The 22,263-nt window shown below is 49.7% G+C and overlaps 1 protein-coding gene across 3 annotated transcripts in view, besides 4 other annotated features; it reads left to right on the forward strand.

Moving 5' to 3' along the window:
• Positions 1-8,331, forward strand: part of GALNT2 (polypeptide N-acetylgalactosaminyltransferase 2) — a 224,334-nt gene extending 216,003 nt beyond the window's left edge. For all 3 annotated transcript variants that reach the window (NM_001291866.2, NM_004481.5, XM_017000964.3), the window contains 2 exons: positions 654-773; positions 5,512-8,331. In NM_001291866.2, the coding sequence (NP_001278795.1) occupies positions 654-773; positions 5,512-5,667 (276 nt within the window). In that variant the 3' untranslated portion in view covers positions 5,668-8,331. The remainder of the gene's footprint in view (positions 1-653; positions 774-5,511) is intronic.
• Positions 8,509-8,668: an enhancer, noted in NCBI's record as "active region_2717". NCBI's record gives its function as "activates an Ori minimal core promoter by ATAC-STARR-seq in GM12878 lymphoblastoid cells {active_cell/tissue: GM12878}" and the evidence as "EXISTENCE:reporter gene assay evidence [ECO:0000049][PMID:35858748]".
• Positions 12,658-13,157: an enhancer, noted in NCBI's record as "H3K4me1 hESC enhancer chr1:230422195-230422694 (GRCh37/hg19 assembly coordinates)". NCBI's record gives its function as "activates a minimal SCP1, AML or CMV promoter by ChIP-STARR-seq in primed H9 embryonic stem cells {active_cell/tissue: H9 hESC(primed)}" and the evidence as "EXISTENCE:reporter gene assay evidence [ECO:0000049][PMID:30033119]".
• Positions 14,342-14,841: an enhancer, noted in NCBI's record as "H3K4me1 hESC enhancer chr1:230423879-230424378 (GRCh37/hg19 assembly coordinates)". NCBI's record gives its function as "activates a minimal SCP1, AML or CMV promoter by ChIP-STARR-seq in naive H9 embryonic stem cells {active_cell/tissue: H9 hESC(naive)}" and the evidence as "EXISTENCE:reporter gene assay evidence [ECO:0000049][PMID:30033119]".
• Positions 21,545-22,046: an enhancer, noted in NCBI's record as "NANOG hESC enhancer chr1:230431082-230431583 (GRCh37/hg19 assembly coordinates)". NCBI's record gives its function as "activates a minimal SCP1, AML or CMV promoter by ChIP-STARR-seq in primed H9 embryonic stem cells {active_cell/tissue: H9 hESC(primed)}" and the evidence as "EXISTENCE:reporter gene assay evidence [ECO:0000049][PMID:30033119]".

The raw sequence follows: 22,263 nt of genomic DNA on the forward strand, positions 1-22,263 counted from the left end.
AAAGGGCTTAAAATAATGCTTGGCACATAGCACCCCATTAAATTTAGCTGTAATGTATTCAAAGAAATTCATAGATCTATTCCTCCAGTTTTCAGAGGGCTTCATGAGCACCCATAGATCAATTAGCATTCACTTAGGAGGCTATACACGATATATTTTGCTTACATATGCAATGTGTTATTTACTACAGTTCACATTCATCAATGCTGTTTGCAGGCCATACCTGCATGAGGGCAGAGTCATTCCAAAATAGCATGGGTGGACCAGTTGCCAACTGTCTACCTGGTGTATAACCAAGCTTGTGCCACAGTTTTTACAGCTCACATTGAATTATAGAAAAATGAACAAGGCAGTCTAACTTGTATTTGGGGCTAAAATAGTTAATAGTTTTATTTTAGTTACTGAGGTCCTCAAAGCACTTCTGCACATCACTCAGCCAACTTACTGCTCAGTTGTGAGGTTCTCCCACATCTCTGATGTTATAAATTTGCCCTTAGGCAAAAAGTAATTGTTTCGTTCTCAGTTGGCTCAGGGGTTCTGAATCTAAGCTCCACCCCGTGACCCATTTCCTTTTTGAGCCCTCATCGATGCCCCTTCTTTCCTTTCACAGCCCGGTGCATAGCACGCCTCTGACTTCTGGTTTTGTGTTCCAGGAATGGGCCTTGACGAAGGAGAAGTCGGTGAAGCACATGGATTTGTGCCTTACTGTGGTGGACCGGGCACCGGGCTCTCTTATAAAGCTGCAGGGCTGCCGAGAAAATGACAGCAGACAGGTACGGCTTGCAGGCACCCGTGGGTGCCCGTGATTAACCCAGACCAGGGTAGCCACGGCCTGCGCCCTCTTGCTCTGTGCTGCCTCTCAAAGCATCCATCTCTGCGTGTACTTATGTGTTCTTTTGCATCACTGTGAATAATGTCTAGCTGCCCTATTAGACTTAAGCCACAAACCTAATGTTGCTTATTTCTGATTATATTCTCATTCTCTTCCCTATGCCGCTGAAAATTTAAAGAGAAATTATCTACTTTTGTTTATTCATCAAATACTTTTTTCTATTTCAATTTACAAAAATTCTAAATGATTAATGTTCACATGGATGGTACTCGATACATAATGCAAGTGTGTGTGTCTATGTGTGTATATATGTGAGCATATATATACACACATATATACACACCACATATATATACATGCTACATATATACATATATACATGCCACATATATACATATATACACGCCACATATATACACATATATACATGCCACATATATACGTATATATATACACACCACATATATATACATGTATACACACCACATATATATACATATATATACACACCACATATACATATATACACACCACATATACATATACCTGCCACATATATACATATATAAACACCACATATATATACATATGCATGCCACATATATGCATATGTAAACACCGCATATATACATATATACACACCACATGTATACGTATATATAGATGCCACATTTATACATATATAAACGCCACATATATATACACACCACATATGTATACATATATATACATGCCACATATACATCTATAAACACCACATGTATACACGCCACATATATACATATGTAAACACCACATATATACACACCACATATATATACACGCCACATATATACATATATACAAACACCACATATATATACATATACACACACACACCACAGATACATACATATATATACATGCCACATAGATATACATATATAAACGCCACATATATATACATATAAACACACCATATATATACATATAGATACATGCTACATTTATATAAACACCACATATATATACGCCACATAGATATACAAGCACAACATATATACATGCCACATGTATACATATGTAAACACCACATATATATACACACCACATATACACACCACATATATATATACAAACACCACATATATATACATATATACATACACCACAGATATATACATATATATACATGCCACATATATATACAAATATACATGCCACATATATACATGTATATACATGCCACATAGATATACATATATAAATGCCACAGATATATACATATATAAACACCACATATATACATAGACACCACAGATACATACATATATACATGCCACATATATATACGTATATATACATGCCACATATATATACGTATATATACATGCCACATATATATACGTATATATACATGCCACATATATATACGTATATACATGCCACATATATATACGTATATATACATGCCACATATATATACATATATAAACACATATATACATATATAGACACCACAGATATATACATATATATACACACCACATATATATACATATATACACACACACACATATACACACAGTTTCTTTAAACATTTCAGAATAGACTTTCTACCTGCCTTGTAAGCCGGTTTTCTCTGACGTATTCCCTTGTGGCAGCTTGTGGACACACCCTTTCTCAAGGCATGGGGTAACAGTTAGTGTCAGGAATAGAAATGCAAGCACAAAAGGTCCTCCCTGTATGCCCATACTTGGAGTGCCTGCCCCTGTTCTTACAGTCGGTCCTTAGAGATAGATGGGATGTAGGGAAACTGAGGCACAGAACCTACTGGAGCCAAGAGCCTAAGCCAGCTTCTAGTCTAACCCTGATTTCACAACAGAAAAGTCTCAGAAAGTCATTGCCTCCACCCTGGAGTCATCTGGGAAGACCAAGGCCAGGACCGAGTCCCCGGTTCTGACCCCAGTTGTCAGGGAGACGCCTGCAGAGGGCCCTCTTTCACCTGTCTGTCTCCAAACCCCTGCGCCAGCTCTGGGTGCTCCTCCTTCCCTGCTCTGCAGAGTCCCAGCCTGTCCTGGCAGTGGGAGCCCCTCTCTAGGGTTCTGCTCACAATCCGCATCTCTAAATGTCCATCTGTGTTGATGACTTGATACCAAAATGTGTAAGGGAGTGCCTGTTAAACAAGAGAAGGCTAGCACCGCTTGGACCCAAACCACCTAGAAATTGCCTCACTCATTGGCCCCTCGAGAGGAAGCTCCTCGAGGGCAAGGCTGGCATCTGCTGAGCCAAGTACTGGGTGAGTCTCAAACACATTCCCCTGGGATGTAACGGAGCAGAGATGTCTTTGGATGTAATGGATTGATAAAGTGATGACTTTAGTTGACACCTTTTTAAAAAACAAATATTACTTCAATATTGCTTAATTTCAAGAATTGACAGGTGTTTCTGCTTCAGTCCCAGTTTTGGGGAACCATAACTGACACGGCTTAGGACCTTTGTGAAGCATGAAAAGACCTATAAATAATAAGTTTTTCTGGATGTATGGCATGTATAAATGGGGATCTGTTAGGTTTTAAACCCCAAGACTCAGGCTATTAGAGAGGATGTGGGGGCTGTTTCAGTAGAGTCTGACTGCCTTGAAAATCTGCGCTCCCCACCCCCAACCACAATCCCATCAGACAGACAGATCAGAGCCCACAAGGCCACCTGTGCGAGACGGAGCTGGGGTTTTGTTGTTGTTTTTCTAAGGTTCTTGATTTAGCTGATGCTTTGACACATGACAGGCAGTCCCTCCAGTGGCCAGAATCAGATTCCGTTCATTCCGAATTCTTTGTTGAGAAGATTCCTGGCTGCTCAGAGTAACAGGGCAGCCTCAATACATACACACTTTACATGACAATGGGGAAAAACAGCATGAGGGGTGATTGACAGCAACGAGGGAGCTGGAAATGAAAGAGGCAATGACAGGCACTTAGCAAAAGCCTCCCCGGCTCCTCTGATTGCACTGTCTTTCCCTGCTGGCAAGAACTCCAGGTGAGCAGGTGGACGGAAATAAGGAAAGCAGGGTACAAGTGACAACATCCTTGTGGTGTTTCGCGCAGGTCGGGTCCCCAGCACTGGGCTCCTCTGCCTGCACCGGCTCCTCCCTGCCTCACTCACTGGCCCCTCAAGAGGAAGCTCCTTAGCAAATTTTATCTTGGAACTGAACTGGCTTTGCCAGTTGGAACATTTGGTTTCCAGGCACGTCCATGTTTTCATATGTTGTGCATATTTGCAGAGTCAAAGGGGAAAGGGAGGCAGGAGTGAGAAAATTTAATTCTGCAATGTCAAAAGGATTTGCAAAAAATACTTAGGTGAAGGAGCTTTCGTGCACACAGTATAAAAAATTAATTAGAACCACAGACTTCATTATTTGAAACGAGCTTTGGGGAAGAAAAAAATGTTACTTTTTTTTTTTAAGAACAAACATTAGAGATTTTTAAAGGGGGATTTTTCTGTTTTTCTTTCTTTTTTTTTTTTTTTTTAAGAGACAGGATCTCACTCTGTTGCTTAAGACTGGAGTGCAGGGGTGGGTATGACCATAGCTCACTGCAGCCTCGAACTCCTGTGCCCAAGCGATCCTCCCACCTCAGCCTGCAAGGAGCTAGGACAACAGGCATGCACCACCATGCCCTGCTAATTTTTTTTAAAAAAAATGTTTGTAGAGATGGGTTCTTGCTATGTTGCCCAGGCTGGTCTTGAACTCCTGGCCTCAAGCGATCTTCCTGCCTCGGCCTCCCAAAGTGCTGGGATTAGTGTCGTGAGCCGCCTGCACTCAGGCTGAAAGGGGTATTTATGTTACTTGCTAAACAGGGCTCCTCAGATTTCCTTCAGGCTGGGTTGTGCACTTTGATTCTGGCTTAGTTGGTGGGTAACGGGTATGTGGGTTGAGTTTGGTTGTTCGCTTGATTTGAGTGTTAGTAAAGAGGCATCGTACCCTGTACTTTACAAGCGGCATGTTCAGAACTCAGCAAACATTGGTCCCTGCCATACAGAGCACCAGGGGGCTCAAGGGTAGCAGAGACAAGTTTCTCATATCCACCAAGGAGCTTGCACACCAGTAGAGAACAGACTACATAGAAATAGGCTTCTCAATGCTATGTTCTGTTCAAACAACCATCTCTCTTCCTGACATTTGGCCTGACACCGTTCCTCTGGCTCCCCCGAGCAGAAAGCCCTAAGTGGGAGCATGGAGGTGCCCAGACCAAGGCCTCCAGGCAGGGCTGCTTTCCAACAGCCAGGGGAGGATCTGGCCCTGCATTGTGTGGATCCCTTCTTGGGGTGAACCATCACTGGATCAAGCTTTCATACGAAGGCATGCAAATTCCCCTACATCAAATCCTGTGTTAATGACGAAGGGGTGGGTGCCCAGAGCTCTGGGGCTCAGAGGAGGGGACACCCACAGAAAGTTTGGGGCAGGAGACGTTCTGAGTTTTGATCCAAGGCAGAGAATATGTTTCCTTCCTGGGTCCCAGCAGCACCTGTGGCTGGTTTCCTGTGGGGCTGCTGCAAGCTCCTCGGCCGTTCAGATGAGAGGCTGGGAAAAACGTGTCTATCTGTGAGTTTTTAATGCAGCCACAAGGTCCTGAATTCACACGAATCTGTTTGTACTCCTTTGCTTGTGCCCACACTCTAAGGCACTCTCCTGTGTCTTGCAGAAATGGGAACAGATCGAGGGCAACTCCAAGCTGAGGCACGTGGGCAGCAACCTGTGCCTGGACAGTCGCACGGCCAAGAGCGGGGGCCTAAGCGTGGAGGTGTGTGGCCCGGCCCTTTCGCAGCAGTGGAAGTTCACGCTCAACCTGCAGCAGTAGGAGGGTCCGGGAGGCCCTGCCGTCCTGTCTCCTGCACCATTGGGTGGAGTCTGGTGATCACATTATTGATTATGTTTCTTAAACTTTCCGCGAAACTAATATACCTCAGTATTCCATCATGGTCTGAAAGTCAAACTTCGGCAAGGCACGGACGACTGTGCAGACACAGCAGCGGCAAGAAGCGAGAACTGCCCTCCCCCTCCTCTCGGTGCAGCCCAGCCGGGCCCCCTTCCCCAGGCCGGAGCGCCCCTCTTCCTTCCAGCTTTCACTTCTGCCGGCTCCGCAACTGAGTGACACCCAGCGACAACCGACTGGGGAGTGGTAGAAGCAACTGAACGGATGCGTGCGAGCTGAGGACAGGGCGGGAGGAGGGGGCACACATGCCCCAGGGGAGCGAGGAGAACTCTTGAAATCTCCATTTTCAATCCCTTCGAAATCACGTATGGTTTCCACAAAGCCGAGTCGTGTCACGTGGCAGGTTTACGTCAATAGTCCCTCTCTCTGCTCCTCCATTCGCAAGTGTCTTCCTGGGCCAGACTCCCCTCCACCTCATGTACTTGCTATATTGAGGATGAAGTTTTCTATGGTGGGACACTAAATATAAAGCTATATAGAGAAAGAATGTACGGTCAGTTCCCTATGGTTTCTGTAGATCATCGTCATCTTGTATATTCCCCACAAAGCCGTTCGCAGCTTCCGGGAGAAGGGGCCAGAGCCCGGTGGGGCCAGTTTCTCACAGAGGGAGGAGGTGGCCTTTGTCCCCTGGAGCCCGATCAGCCAGTTGGTGCTACTGCTGTGGCCAGCTGGGGGGCTTCCTCCAGACCACCGGCCTCGGCCCCGGCATCCCTGTTGGGCGTCAGCCTGAGAGTCCCTACTGTGCGTCAGAATCCACCTTGCGTGCTGTGCGTATCTGTGAACCTGGAGCGGTTACTTATTTTGACAGATATCACTTTGGGTCTTTTTACATTAAATTTCTTTTCTCTAAGGAATATAAGACATACCCCATAGCTCTGTGTGAGCCAGCAATACCGCTGCCCCCTGGCGACAGGGCAGACCAATGATGCCAGGCAGCTGTCACACGCTAGTATTGGCTTCATTGTGATCTGAGCCCTGCACGCTGGGCCTTCAGAATTAATGGCCAGCAGTGTCAGGGATGAGCCCGTCAGCCAGGGCACAGGCCTGGCTCACAGTCCTGCACACCTGCTGGCCTGGGGAGCTCCAGCCAGGCAGCGAGTCCTGCCCCGCCCGCAGCTCCCTCCCACACCCCGCCTGGCCAAGATGACTGCTTCAGGGGGCTTTGGGGAAAGAATTAGGAAGGGTCAGAACCAAACAATACCTGCTCATTTACACTGAGGATTCAGGGCGGGAGACAGGAGCCTTGGGGTCCTGTTAAACCACAGACAGTTATGAACTGAAAGTCATAACGGGGAGAGGTGCCTGGCTTCTACCTGGGTGCTCAGGAATGTTCCTCGTCACCCCTGCCACTCTGTGGTCGGTGCCCTGCTTCCTCCTCCACTCCTGGCCGCCTTCTCCAGCGCCGCACACACAGATGCTCAGTCTCAGAGAGGCTGGCACGGCCTGGCAGTCTGAGAAAAGCGTCAGTTAGGCACACCTGCAGGCCCCTCGGTGGGACAGCGGCGGCCTTGGAGTTAGGAGCCACCCTGGGAGGTTGTGCCGGTGCCATGCTCCTCCCTGTGTCTTGTATGAAAGGGGCCACTGTGTGTCTTCCTCCCCGGCGGGAGCCCCACATGTGTGCACTGTAGGACAGCGGCCCCGAGGTGGAAGCCTGGCTGGAGGGCTGCCCTATAGGTCTTCTCTTCCCGCCTCCCCTGCCATGCAACCAGATGTGTTGTGAGTGGGCAGCGTGCCCCCACGCTGGAGTAACTCCGCACGCTTCTGTCTTTCACGGTGGGCGCTCGGGGGGAGCCTGAGGAAAACCCCCTTAGGTACCTGTGCGAGGCTGTGGAGTGCAGGCCAGAGCAGGGTGTGCGTAGCCCCCAGCACCCAGGTTCTTCTGTCAGACCCTGTGACCTGCGAGCTGCTACTACTGTAAGGAGGGAAATGGATGAATCTGGCTCGTTTTAAAATCACGTTTTCTGACGAATCCTTTGCCCCTTCACCTTTACCCCGCCCGCACCCCTAGGCCCTCTCAGCCTTCCTATCATCCCACGTGTCTACCCAGACCCTTGTGCGGCCCATGCCCTGGGGGCGGCGTCCTGTCCCTGAGCTGGGAGGCGGCTTTGGATGGTCCGGGCGTCAAGAGCAGGGGTGGGCCGGGGAGGGGTCCTTTGCGGTGAGCTATGTTTACATGACACAGTGTGCCAAAGTGACTTACTGCGGTTGCGTTAGTTTTTAATCATCAGGACTATCTCACCCTCCCACTCCTGTTTTTAAAACTCAGAATTCTTTCCTAAGAGCCCTTCGAGCAAAGCGTGCCGAAGTTAGTTGTCTTCTCTGTGCTGGTCCTTTCTTATGTCCTCATAAAAGCTCAGATGATGGTATCTGTGAGTATGTTTTGCAAATTCAAAATATAGTTTGGTAATTTTTTTTTCCAGTTGATTTTTAAAAAGAACTGCTGTACAGAGCTTGTACTTTGTCCATTTTATAGATGGAAACCATCCTTGAAAATTGTTTAACTTAAATAAAGAGAAGATACTTTCTAGATACCGCTCTTTGCTGGCCAGAGTCTGTCCTGGTGTGTGAGGGCTGGGTGGGGTGGGTGTGGGGACTGGGATTGGGGTCAGCCTTCTGCAGCTCCTGCTCAGTGGCTGTTTCTTATCACCTTTTGCAGATGCGCTTTTATTGCTGTGCCCTTTGGTTGGTTATTCTTACTTGTAATAATAATCATTATCATTTGTGGAGTGTTTATGATGTGCCAGGCACCCAGCCAAGCCCTTAAATACATTTGCATTTTACAGCCACAGGGGAAGCTGGTGAAGGAAGTTGCTAGCCTGCTCAAGGTCACGTCCTTCCTGTGTACCTGCCTGGAGCCAGCCCTTGGCACTCGCACCCAGACCCTGTGCTCCAAACCAGGGGACAAATATTTTTACAGTTTTTCAAGTAGTTAAGATTTATAGACTTGTTTACCAGTTACCTGGGGCTCTTCGGTTCCATCCAGGCGTCTCTGAGGTTCTTCAGATACTATTTGTTTTATTTTATTTTTTTTGAGACGGAGTCACCTAGGCTGGAGTGTGGCGGCGCAATCTCGACTCACTGCAACCTCCGCCTCAGTGATTCCAGCGATTCTCCCGCTTCAGCCTCCAAGGTAGCTGGGATTACAGGCACTCACCACCATACCTGGCTAATGTTTTGAATTTTTAGTAGAGATGAGGTTTCACCATATTGGCCAGGCTGGTCTTGAACTCCTGACCTCAAGTGATCCGCCAGCTTCGGCCTCCCAAAGTGCTGGGATTACAGGCGTGAGCCACTGCACCTGACCTTCGGTACCTTTTAAATTCCTGCATTTGAGCCAGGCCACAGTAGTGCGTGCCTGTAATCCCAGCTATTCAGGAGGCTGAGGCAGGAGGATCGCTTAGCCCAGGAGTTTAAGACCAGCCTGGGCAACGAAGTAAGATTCCCATCTCAACAACAGAAGCAAAAGTACCTACATTTGAACAGCCCCACAAGGGTTCAAGGAAACATAACCTTGACCAATTATTTAACAATTTTTTTTTCAAGACAGAGTCTCACTTTGTCGCCCAGGCTGGAGCGCAGTGGTGCAATCTTGGCTCACTGCAACCTCTGTCTCCTGGGTTCAAGTGATTCTCCTGCCTCAGCCTCCCGAGTAGCTGGGATTACAGGCCCCCACCACCACACCCGGCTACTTTTTTGTATTTTTAGTAGAGACGAGGTCTCACCATGTTGCCCAGGCTGGTCTCAAACTCCTGACCTGAAGTGATCCACCCGCCTCGGCCTCCCAAAGTACTGGGATTACAGGCATGAGCCACCGCACCTGGCCCAAATTATTTAGCAATTTTGATTGACATTGGGGTGAAGTAGGAGGTTGGCCACTGGCAGGACTGGCCCAAATGAGTGTCTGAAACCTTCTAGAGACCACATGTAATCCATTTTCTTTCCCTATTATTTGGGACACCAAAAATTTGCTGCCATCTGAGAAGACTAAAGGAACTCTCAGCATCGTTTTGTAGCACCCACTGGAGCCCCTTAGGGATCCCGTGTGTGGTGCCTGCTCTGGCAACAGGGAGAGGTTTATTTATTCGGTAACTATTTGTTGAAAACCTGTGTTGTGCTGATAGTCCCAAAGAAGACCCAGGCTGAGGAGGAAACACGTTAAATGGTGACAAATAGGACAAGCCAAATGCAGGCTCTCGGCCTGGCGGGTGCTGCACCCTTGTTGGAGCCGTGTCTCAAAGGTTCTGTGGGATTCGGACTTGGCGAGGGAGAGCGTTGCCGGCAGGGGCTCAGCGTCTGAGAAGTCCCATCACCAGGACATAGCAGCAAGATCCCCTGATGGGGACAGCCTGGGAGGAAGAGGACAGACTGGCAGGCGGGCCCGTGTGTGAGCATTGTGAATGCTGGGGAAGGCTGTGGGGGTGGGGAATGACAGGAGTTCCTGACTGGAGCAGAGAGGGTCAGACTTGCAACGCTTTTCAGAATGAAATATCCAACCCAACTCAGTGATTGGATTCTGCGGTATAACTTCACATTGTCAAGAATATTCAACCAGAAAAATAAAATGCCTCTGACACACTCTTCTGTTCATGGACTTACCTACAGAAGAGAAGAAAAAACTCTCTTCTCAGCAGTTCTTGCCTATTTCTCAGCAATCTCCTAATACAATTGCTGTATTTGATTTTATGCATTGTTTGTGCCTGCAAATAACATACATCCTGTTTCCAAAAGCTGTCGTCTCCCCTAGGGTTCCAAAGAGGAGTGTTCGCTTAGCAGTTTCTGCCTGAGCTCCTGGGGTCCCAGGCTAGGGTGGTCTGGACAGGGGCTACAGAGAAGACCTTTTGGTCCTCAGCCCAGGTGACACCCACGGGTGAGTCAGATTTGAACCAGACTCTGGATGCAATTATAAGGAGCATTGTAGAGCAGTAGCCATGATTTCCTCTTCAGGAATAAAGACCCAGTCTCAACAAGGTGCCAGCCTCCTGAAGGGCGTGGAAAGAACCCTTGCGCGGCACCGAAGCCACTGATTCACATTCGCTGCGGAGTTTCCCTGAGACTGTCCTTCTTGCTCTCAAGTTGGCAGAATTGTCTATTGGAGAGCTTCCATAAAAAGCCCACCTAAATGGAGGCGAGATTAAAAGAGATGTTGTCTTGTATAACAAGAAATCCAAAGGTGATGGGATTCCACGTTGATCCTGGGGCTTGACATTGCTGTGGACAAACTGCTCCCTATCCGAGCGCCCCTCCCCTCCATCCCCTCCCACCGTGGTTCATTTAGTACAGTGGGTGCTCGGGTCTCCGTCTGTTCACGTTGCTGTAAAGGAATATTGGAAACGGTAGGTTATTTGGCTCATGGTTCTGCAGGTCGTACGAGGAGCATGGCTCCAGCGTCTGCTTCTGGGGAGGCCTCAGGAAGCTTCCACTGGTGGTGGAAGGCAGAGGGGAGCAGGCATGGCATGGCGAGGGGGGCGGGAGGAGCCAGGCTCTTTTCAACAATCAGTTCTCACTCACTCCTGTGATAATGGCACCAAGCCATTCAGGAGGAACCCACCCCCACAGTCCAAACACTTCCACCACGCCTCACCTCCAACATTGAGGGTCAGAGTTCAACATGAGACTTGAAGTGGACAAACGTCTAACATTTATCACTGAACAGACCTGGAGCGTGCTGCCTCCTGTGCATCTTTGTTTTTTGACTTAGGGAAGATGCACCTTTGCCAGTGACCACCCCACCCCTTAGTCTCCCCACCCCTTAGTCTCCCCACCTCTTAGACTCCCCACCCCTTAGACTCCCCACCTCTTAGTCTTCCCGGGTCGCACTGCCCAGAGCCGGGTCCTTGGGAAGCCGGGAAGCAGTCACCTCCCACCTCCTCCCATGTCATGGAAGTGGGTTTTGCTGGCAAGGAGGACAGGGAAGGGATGACTACTCATTGAGCAGCCCAGTGCCCACCACACTTGCCATCACTGGAAGAATTCTGGCAGCAGCAGATGGACAGGGGTGGCAGCGTGGTCTCAGGATTCCTTCATCCTAAGAGAGGCAGTCGCAGACCCTGTTGAGCCCCTTCACCCTGTTGATGCCATGGACTCCTTTGGCGTGAGCCATCAACTCAGGGCCTCCTCTCAGAAGGTGTTCAAATGAATAAAACACATTGATTACATGGGATTATAAAGAAGTCTAATTATGCCAAGACACAGTTATCAAAATATTTTCCTAATATGTGCTTCTTAATGCATTAAATAACAAGTCTTCCTGTCTAATTGCTGCCATAATTTAAAGTAGTGATGAGCATAAACAATGTTTTGAAAAAGCTACAATAATTAATGTGATGAAAATATCTGTGATTTTTTAATTAGTGACAAAGTTCCTATTTTGTTGTCGACATTCGTTGTAGAGTGTTCCATTTCAGTTGGAGGTTGTGAAAATAACAATATCATTTTTCCCATCTAAGTTGCTGGACCCCCTAAATTCTAAGCATCTCCATGTCGGTGAGATGCATGGTCCCCACTGTCCTGGAGCCTCCGTGACTTTGTCATCTCCCTGCTGCAGGGTCAAAGGGGTGTTCTCCAGCGCCCAGGCAGCTGCCCAGAGCTCTAATCCTGATTCCAAGAGCAAAAACGGGAACAGACCGCCCTTGAGGACAGGCGCTGCTGGAGCCAAGAGACTCACAGTCGGTCACCTGATTTGCATTTATATTGAGAAATCACAGCTGGAGGGTACCCTGGCAGATGGGTGAGGCTGAGCCACTCAGGCTCTAGGGAAGCCACGCTGTCCTCACAGTGCCCACCCATTGATCTGTGACACGTGGGCCAAGGGGCGTGGGATTTTGCTGGTCAGCTTCTCTCCCTATTGAAGCCGCATGGGAAGGAAGTGGGCAGAAGACTGCTCGGCAAGCAAGGAGCCAGAGTACTGAATGCAAGGACCTTCACAAAGTGCCTCTTGAGGTGGAAAGACGGAGGCGTTTCTGCGCCGCTGCGTGGCCTCAGCCACGAAACTGTCATTCGGAGACTGCTTGGCCTGGACTCCAGCTCAGGATATGCAGAGTGGGTGCTGCCTGATGCCTCATCTGGGCCTGCCAGGTCTGCGGCAGGAGGGCGGGTAGGATGGGAAGGAGCCCATCCTGGGACAGAGCATGTAAATGCATAGCCACCACTGTCGGGTGCCACACAGGAGTGAAGTCCAGGAGTGAAAAGAAACACTTGAGGGAAAGGAAGAGGGGCGAACAGAGGAGGTGGCACTGGGTGCGGCTTCTCAGGCCCTGGAATGGGTGTCCCACCCTTCAAATAACCTCTCATCTCTACACAAAGACGTTACCCCATTTTACCCCTGGGGAAACTGAGGCTCTGATCAGCTAAGTCATTTGCCTAATTTACCCACACAGTGCCAAGTTAAGCACCCAGGCTGTGACTGTCCTCTTCCTGGTCCGGTGGGGACACGGGGACAGGAGGTGATGGGAAGTGAAATGGGCCTTTGGTCGTAGCCAGGGGAGGGGCAGTGACTCCCGTTGCTAACAGGGAAAGCTGGAGTCGCCTCCGCCCGCCGGCTCATGAGGGCTGGAGGGGAGGAGTCAGGAGACTCAGGGGTGGGAGAGATGGGCTCCACCGCTGCATCCTGCCACCCACCACCTGTGTCACCATGGGATGTCACTGAGCCTGCTCTGTGAAATGGGAACCCTTCTGTTCACCCTGGAAAATCATTGTCAAGATCAGAGAGGAAGCACGAAAAGTGCCTCCTGGCCATGCAGTGGCTCCACCTGCAATCCCAGCACTTGAGGAGGCCAAGGCAGGAGGATTGCTTGAGTCCAGGAGTCTGAGACCAGCCTGGGCAACATAGTGAGACTCCCATCTCTACAAAATAATAATAATAATAAGCTGGGCATGGTGATGCACCCCTGTGGTTGGGCTACTCGGGATGGCTTGAGCCCAGGAGTTTGAGGCTGCAGTGAGCCATAATTGCACCACTGTACTCCAGCCTGGAGCAAGACCCTGTCTCAAAAAAAATTTTTTTTAATTTGCGCTCTGATCTAGGCCAGCCCAGAGCTGCAGCCCCGGCCCATGAGCCTCCCCAGCTTTCCCGGCAGGTCTGTGGGCCGTCCAGAAGGAAAGGGACTGGAGCAGGGGAGCCAATGGGATTTCCACATCTGCCAAGTCTTCAGGGAATGTGGGATGGCACGGGGACCCGGGAAATAAGGGTGGAGGTGTCAGCCCTGCATTTTTACAGCCTAGAAGTGACGTCAGAGACCACCAGAGAGGGGGACGGCAGAGAGAGGGAGGACAGGGGCCTGGAAACACAGATCCACACACAGGCTGGAAAGGACCGAGCAAGACACTGCTGGCTGGGCAGAGGCAGCTGGAAGGAAAGGAAGGAAGGTGCGGGACAAACGAGGCTGCCCCACGGCCCGAGCCAGAGCACAGTGAGCTCTGGGAAGAGGTACCTGGATTTTTGGCAACAAGGAAGTTGGTCCGATGCCAGCAGGTGAGGAGCATCCTCCTCATGTGAGGAACACGGGGCTGGAGCAGGGGAGGACAGGGTGTGTGGCCACTGGTTCAGGTGGGGATGTCTGGGACGGACCTGAGAAGCTGAGGCTGATGGGACAGCGAGGGGACAGAGAACTCTCCGGAAACTTCTGGCTCCGGGGCAGAGGGCCGAGCTAAGGGGTGGCATGGGTAGCCACTGTTTCCCTCCCACTCCCCCAGCCCCCTGCACTGGGGATTTTGAGGCTGTCTGCACTTCATATGTTTGAGAGAAACCCACGATTGTAGAGCTGAAGATGTAGAATTTGGCCCGCAGGTAACTGCACACCAACCAGGACCAGCCCTGCTCATGAGCTTCACTGCGGCACCCATTTCATCACACAAGGGGCCAACCAGAGGCCAATTCAGGAGATGTCAATGTCTGTGTGCCTCCACCCCAAAATTCATAGATTGAAATCCTAACCCCCAAGGCAATGATATTAGGAGGTGGGGTCTTAGGGAGGTGGGCAGGTCATGAGGATGGCCCTGATCCAGTCTGACTGCTGTGCTTATAAGAGATGATGACACAGACCCACACAAAGGGGCGGCCACGTGTGGACGCAGGGAGAAGACAGCCGTCCCACGCCATGGAGAGGCTTCAGGAGCAACCAACCCTGCAGACACCTTGATCCTGGACTTCCGGCATCCGGGGCTGTGCGTTGTGCAAGCCCCCCCGAGCCTGCACTGTTTTGTTCTGGCAGCTCCAAGCTGACTCATACAAGCCCAGAGCCCTCGCAATTCCCACACGCCACATGCATGGCTCAGCTGCACCTCCTGCCAGCTCCAAACCTCACGGCACAGGGTACACACTTGTGTGTCCATATGGTCAGCTTTCAGCACTGGACAGGGCTTCTAAGGTCCCATCCCATGACATGCTCCCCTCACCTGGGTCCTCCTTCCGACACTCCCAACATGTGTTCTGGCATCAGCTGGGGGGCCATGCTTGTGCTGGGAGCTTAGAAGATGAGAGCTAATGTTCACTGGGCACCTGCCATGCTCCAGAAATGATGCCAGCTTCTCATTCAGGGCTCACTTCCACCTTTCAACAGACGGACCAAGTAGGACTTAGAAAGCTTAAGGCATATGTGAGTCATGTCAGAACAGGAATTTGAACCCAGCTCTCAAACTTCAAAGCCCTGTTCTTTGTATGACACTTGTGCTTCTCAAACCTTGCTGCATATTCCAATTACCTTGGGAGTGAAACAACAACAATGCAATCCTGCAGTCCCTGGAGCTAAGGTCAGCTGTGTTTGCAAAGCTCCCCAGAGGCTCAGAAAGTACAGCTGGGTTGGAAACCAAACCAGCGCTTCCCCAACCTCAGTGCACAGCAGAGTCTCCAGGAGAGCTTGTTAAAACCGAGTCCCGGGGCCCAGTCCCCAAGTTCCTGATTCGGCAGGACTGGGGTGGGATTTGAGAATTCATATTTCTTCTCTTTCTTTTCTACTCCTTCTTCTTCTCCTTCTTCATTTTTTTTTCTTTCTTTCTTTCTTTTTGAGATGGAGTTTCCCTCTTGTCCAGGCTGGAGTGCAGTGGTGTGATCTCGGCTCACTGCAACCTCTGCCGCCTAGGTTCAAGTGATTCTCATGCCTCAGCCTCCAGAGTAGCTGGGATTATAGGCACCCACCACCATGCCCAGCTAATTTTTGTATTTTAGTAGAGATGGGGTTTCACCATGTTAGCCAGGCTGGTCTCGAACTCCTGACCACAGGTGATCCATCCGCCTCGGCCTCCCAAAGTGCTGGGATTACAGGCATGAGCCACCATGCCTGCCCTCATCTTCATTTTTTTTTAGAGACAGAGTCACCCACACTGGAATGCAGTGGTGTCAATCATAGCTCACTCCAGCCTTGAACTCCCAGGCTTGAGCAATCTACCCACCTCAGCCTCCCGGGTAGCTTGGGACTACAGGCACACAACACCATGCCTGGCTAATTTTTTGTATTTATTGTAGACACTGGGTTTCACTATGTTGCCCAGGGTGGTCTCAAACTCCTAGTCTCAAGTAATCACCCACCTTGGCCTCCCAAAGTGTTGGGATTACAGGCATGAGCCACTGTGCCTGGTGGAAGTTTATAGTTCTAATGACTCCTAGGTGATGCTGATGCTGCTGGCCTGGGAACCACACTTTGAGGAGGCACAAGGCACTTAGTTCAGGCCGTGGCTAGTTTAGACAATAGGGATTGCCCACACTTCATACCAAAGGGTTATTACTGAGTTGCATGGCGGCCTGGAGAAGCGGTAGTGGGTAGGGCTCAGGTTGTGGTTCTGGGGCCGGACTGCTTGGTTCATGGCCTCAGGTCCGCTATTCCTGTGCCCTTGGATGCTTCATGGCTCGGATGTGGACCCTGTTACATGACCTCAGTCTCACCATCTCCGTTCTCTGTGCTCAGCTTCCTCCTCAGTTAAATGGGGAAATGAAATTCACAAAGTTGGCCGGGCGCGGTGGCTCACGCCTGTAATCCCAGCACTTTGGGAGGCCGAGGCGGGTGGATCACGAAGTCAGGAGATCGAGACCATCCTGGCTAACACGGTGAAACCCCATCTCTATTAAAAATACAAAAAAATTAGCCGGGCATGGTAGCAGGTGCCTGTAGTCCCAGCTACTCAGGAGGCTGAGGCAGGAGAATGGCGTGAACCTGGGAGGCGGAGCTTGCAGTGAGCCGAGATCGCGCCACTGCACTCTAGCCTGAGCAACAGAGCAAGACTCTGTCTCAAAAAAAAAAAAAAAGAAAAAAAAGAAAAGAAAAAAGAAAAGAAATTCACAAAGTTAGAGCCTTGGGGTGGTGAGATTCTCTCACTCCCCCTCTACCATGACCTGCTTCGTCAGAAAACCATTCCCCCTTCTGCTGCTTGAAGGGGTTTAATACCATGGATCTGCACCTCGTAGTTTCAATTTGGAATTTTTTAGTTCAGAGGACTTTGAGTGACAGACATTCTAAAAATCAAAGTAGGTAACAAAATGAATAAGGGTTGCAGAGAGTATTCAAATGCAGACAGTGAGAGCTCATGGAGGTGAAGAATCAGGCCTTGATCTGCACAGTTACCCAGAAAGTAGAATCCCTCATGGATGCTGAGCTTGGGGCTGAGGCTGCCAGCTCCCTCTCTGCACTTTAGAAACAGGTCTGCATGTAACCCACCTAAACACAGCCCTCTAACCTCTCTGTTCTTCTTCTCCTGGATGAAAGATTTGGGTGATGAATAAAATGATAGTCTGGGCCACCCTTTTCCACCTCACCTGAAAGGCCAGGAAATAGAACTAAGAAGTGTGTTTAAGGAATCATTTTAGGCCTGGGGCAGTAGCTCACATCTATAATCCCAGCACTTTGGGAGGCTGAGGCGGGAAGATGACTTGAGCCCAGGAGTTGGAGACCAGCCTTGACAACATAGTGAGACCCTGTTGCTACAAAAAATTAAAAAATTAGCCAGGTGTGGTGGTGTGCACCTGTGGTCCCAGCTACTTGGGTGGCTGAGGTGGGAGGATCGCTTGAGCCTAGGAGTTGGAGGCTGCAGTGAGCTGTGACTGTGCCACTGCACTCCAGCCTAAGTGAAAGAGTGAGACCCTGTGTGTAAAAAAAGGAAGAAATCATCTTAGTACAAGTTCTTCCTTTTGAAGAATTTCAGACACTTAATTGCTTTGTTTGTGCTAACTCTTTAAGGAAGCGGCTGGGTATAGGGCCAGCTCCCTGGGGGGAGCGGTGAAGTGGGGAGTGGTGAAGTGGGGAGCAGTGACGGTGAGGGGGAGGGGGGAGCGGTGAGGGAGGGAAGCGGTGTGGGGGGAGCGGTGAGGTGGGGAGCGGTGAAGGAGGGAGCGGTGAGGTGGGGAGCGGTGAGGCGGGGAGCCGTGAATGGGGGACCGGTGAGGGGGCAAGTGGTGAAGCGGGGAGTGGCAGGTCCTCCTCTACGGTGGCTGTTCTCTGCCCCTCACCCTGGGGTGCTGCTCTGCCGCCCGGCTCCTCACACTCTCCCTTGGATTCGAATGACAGCGTGACCTCAGGTCCCCTATTCCTGTGCCCTTGGATGCTCCAAGCAGGTGAGGAAAGGGAGGAAATAGGTTCTTGGGGCTCTAGCCACGTCAGGTGAATAGAATCAGGAAATGTCCACCATGTCCTCTTCCTGCTGCCAGGGATAGCAGGGCTCCTGAGAAGGACACCGCATCCCGGCGAGGCGAGGTCGGAGAGGGGGCCGGGGCACAGCTGCCAGAGTGATGGGCGCTCTTGTCTGTCAAAAGCCCCTTTTCATAATGGCCGTTCTGGGAGAAGAGAAGCTCAGGCTGGCAGCTTGGGTCTCACATACCTGACTGACTGTCATTAATTGCCTCTCGCAGGCTCTTGCCCTCTCCACCTCTCTCTCTTTCCTTCTCCCTCCCTCTCTCTCTCAACCTGCCTCTCTCTTTCCCTCCTCTCTCTCTCTCAACCTGCCTCTCTCTTTCCCTCCTCTCTCTCTCTCAACCTCTCTTTCCTGCTCCCTCTCTCTTTCCCTCTCCCTCTCTCTCTTTCTCCCTCCCTCCCTCTCTCTCTCAACCTGCCTCTCTCTTTCCCTTCCTCTCTCTCCTTCTCTTGCTCTAAAAATTCAGATGTTTTCTCCCCAAACACATTTTTTCTTTGTTTGTTTTTGTTTTTGTTTTAATTTTAGCCAAGTTAGTCCCAGAGGCAGCAAATCCAAATCGTGAGGCCGTCTCAGGGGTGCATTATTCTAGGGAGGGCCTCTCTGACGTGTCCATGGGAGACACCCTTAGAGCAAGGAGCGGATGGGAAAGCTCATGGACACAGCCTGCATGTCAGCGGCCTTTCCAAGAGCTGTTGCCTGGGCAATGAAATGGAGAGATTTTGAAAAGCCTCTCTCAGCGTGTCCACACCTGTCCTGCTAGCACGCCACCTGTGGTGTTATTAAAATCACTTGTCCTGTGGCGGCTGCTGCTACAATATGTGTCTCCCAGAGGGGAGAGCCACAGTTCATTAACCTGATTATTAAGCTTCATTAACTTGACTCATCCACTACTAACTAACCCTGCACTGCCCTGAGAATCAGATGATGGCCTCACAGGCAGCAAGAGAAGGCAGAGACCCAGAGAGCCAGATGCACCCGTGTCCGTGTGTGGATCAGGCAGCATGCTCTAGTGGAAGGCACCTGTGCTCCCGATGCCTGGCTGGACTCTTCGGGTGGGTCACACTGCCATCCTGGAGATGAAGAGCCCCCTCCAATAAGCTTGTCAATGCTTTTCCCTGAGAGCTTTGTATGAAGGCATCCTCCTGTTAGGAAAACACACAGATGTTCACTGCCCTCAGGATTAAACCACGTGCACGCTGGCATCCAGGCTGGGACACACTGGCATTCAGCCTGGGAGGCTCTGAGCACCCAGGACGTGGGATTTGAGGCAGAGGAGTCAGTGAACAGGGGGAACCAGCAGATGGGCATCAGTGAGCAGCTGAACGCAGCTGGAGAGAAAGGAGAAGCTAAGCCCGAGAATGGACGCCAGCCCCATCACCCTCTCGGCCTGAGGATGCTGGATTTGCTGTGGTGCTGTCATTGTGGAAGGAGACAGATCCCAGGAACTTTCATACCAGGAGGCCTGTGTCAACCTGCCTCTCTCCTCCTTCTGCAGGGACTATGCTGGCCTCTTCAAAGTCTAGGTCTTTCCAACCATCGTTTGTGGAAAGACTTTATGGCAAGGAGCACGCAAGAGGCAGCAGACAGGGACGTCATTCATGTGAGAATCTGTAGTGTCTCCCCATGGGAAAGCCTGCTCTTTGGAGAGGGCAGGATGACCATAGAATTGCTCAGACTCGGTGGCCTGGCAGGTGCTGTGAGCAAACAGGTAAACAGCTTCAGGACAGGAGCCTTCAATCCCTTATCCTGCTCCCAAGCATTCGGGGAGAGGGGCCCTAGAGAGAGACTGGAAAGGGTACAATGTGCTCAAGGAATGAAATGGCTTGTGGAGGGCTGCCCAGAGATGGTGGGTCCAGTTCAAATCAGTTCTGCCTCTGTTCATAATCCCACCCACACCAGGCATCAGCCGGAGCTGACCTGCAGGCCAGAAAGAAAGAAGGGGCCAGAAAGTTTAGTTCCATAAGGGCCAGATGGCCTGAGCAATGCCCATCAGTCAGACTTGTCTTGGGGATTGCTAAGATACAACTGTGCTGAAAGTGTTATACTTTTAGTAAAAAAAATACATTCTGAGGCTGGGCGCGGTGGCTCATGCCTGTCCTCCCAGCGACTCAGGAGGCCAAGGCAAGAGGATCACTTGAGGCCAGGAGTTCAAGACCAGCTTGGGCAACACAAGACCTCATCTCTACAAAAATAAGCAAACAAATAGATACACTTTGATACAGTTGATACAATAATATCAACTGACACTTGGATAGTATTAGGTTGGTGCAAAAGTTATTGGGGTTTTTGCCATTATGTTTAATAACTTTTGCACCAACCTATATTTATAGTAGACTGAATAATTGCCACGCAAAGATGTTAGGTCCCAATCTCTCATATAGAGCCATGAGCCCATTGGGTGGAGCCCAAGCCATAGACGGTTATCACCAGCCCCGAGCCCTAATGGAACGTGCCCTAATGGAACTCCTGCCCTGCTGGAGTCCTTCATTGCGTGAGACTCATGACTCCTTTCTTCCTTTCACTGTTCCCTTTTGGAATGGGAGAGTCTATCATTGTTTCGCTGTTATACCACACCTGTTATACCACATTGCTTTTGGAATAAATTGATTTTCTAGTTTCACAGGTCCAGAGATAGGAAGGAATTTTTTTCCAGGATGAATCAGATCCAGAGTCTAACCCATATCTTAATCAGATGCTGTGATTTGGAATTTCTGAGTTAATGAGATTTAGATGAGATTTTGGACATGAGTTGATTGTAGTGGATTGAGACTTTTGGGAACATTGAAATGGGGTAAATATATTTTGCATGTGGAACAGACATGAATCTTTGGAGACCCAAGGGAGGACTCTGGTAGGCTGAATAATGGCCTGACCAAAGATATTAAGGTCTGTTATCCAAAAGGCCATCAGAATGGCTCACTAGTAGGAAGGAGAGCTATATTGGTAGCATCAGCTTGCAAACTGGGAAGAGATCATCTCCAGTGTGGACTGAAGGTGCGCTCTTCAGAGGGGAACGGAGAGGCTGGGTTTTATGCCTAACGAGGTCTGCATTACCCCAAAAAACAATACATATTCAGCAGGTTTGGGGGAGACGCTATGCATGTTTATGAGGGGAGTTGAGCACATGTGCAATGGGTAACCATATATATAACATACATCCCATGCTCATTTTGGGGCAAGGTTTTAGCATTAAAATGAGGTGGCATTTGGCTCAAGTCAGAAGGTGAACTATATGACACAAAGTTTGTGCGCAGCCTCTATAAGCTGCTGAAACTGGCTTCAAGTCTGCAGGTGTTTATCAGAAAAGAACATTTGTAAGGCTGGTCCTCTGTCCAACAGAGTTGTTGTGGTCTGGGGTATAAAGCCGAGTGAGGCAGGATCTGATCATTTGCCTGATAGCTTCTATTGTTAGGGAGTTTTGCAAGACAGTGGTTTTCCTTGCAGCCATAAGAATTTAGAAATTTTCCATGCCAGCTGGGCCCCGAACCCTCAACTCCTAGGTACCTTTTGTTTCTTTAACCTCAGGGTCTGTCTTAGTTGATAAAGGGGTGTCTATTTTGGTTTCTCAGATCACAGGTCCTAATTTCTAGAGCCTTAAATGTTATCTTATAAGGAAAAATATTCTTTGCAATTATTATTAAGTATCTTGACATGGAGAGATGATCCTGGATTATTCAAATGGGCTCTCAATCCAACCATAAGTGTCCCTATAAAAGAGAGACAGGCTGGGCACTGTGGCTCCCACCTGTCACTCCCAGCACTCTGGAAGGCTGAGGAAGGAAGATCACTTGAGCCCAGGAGTTCGAGACCAGCCTATCCAACACAGTGAGGTTCCTTCTCTACAAA

Source organism: Homo sapiens, chromosome 1 (genome assembly GCF_000001405.40).
Source record: "Homo sapiens chromosome 1, GRCh38.p14 Primary Assembly".
NCBI classification, from domain to species: Eukaryota; Metazoa; Chordata; class Mammalia; order Primates; family Hominidae; genus Homo; species Homo sapiens.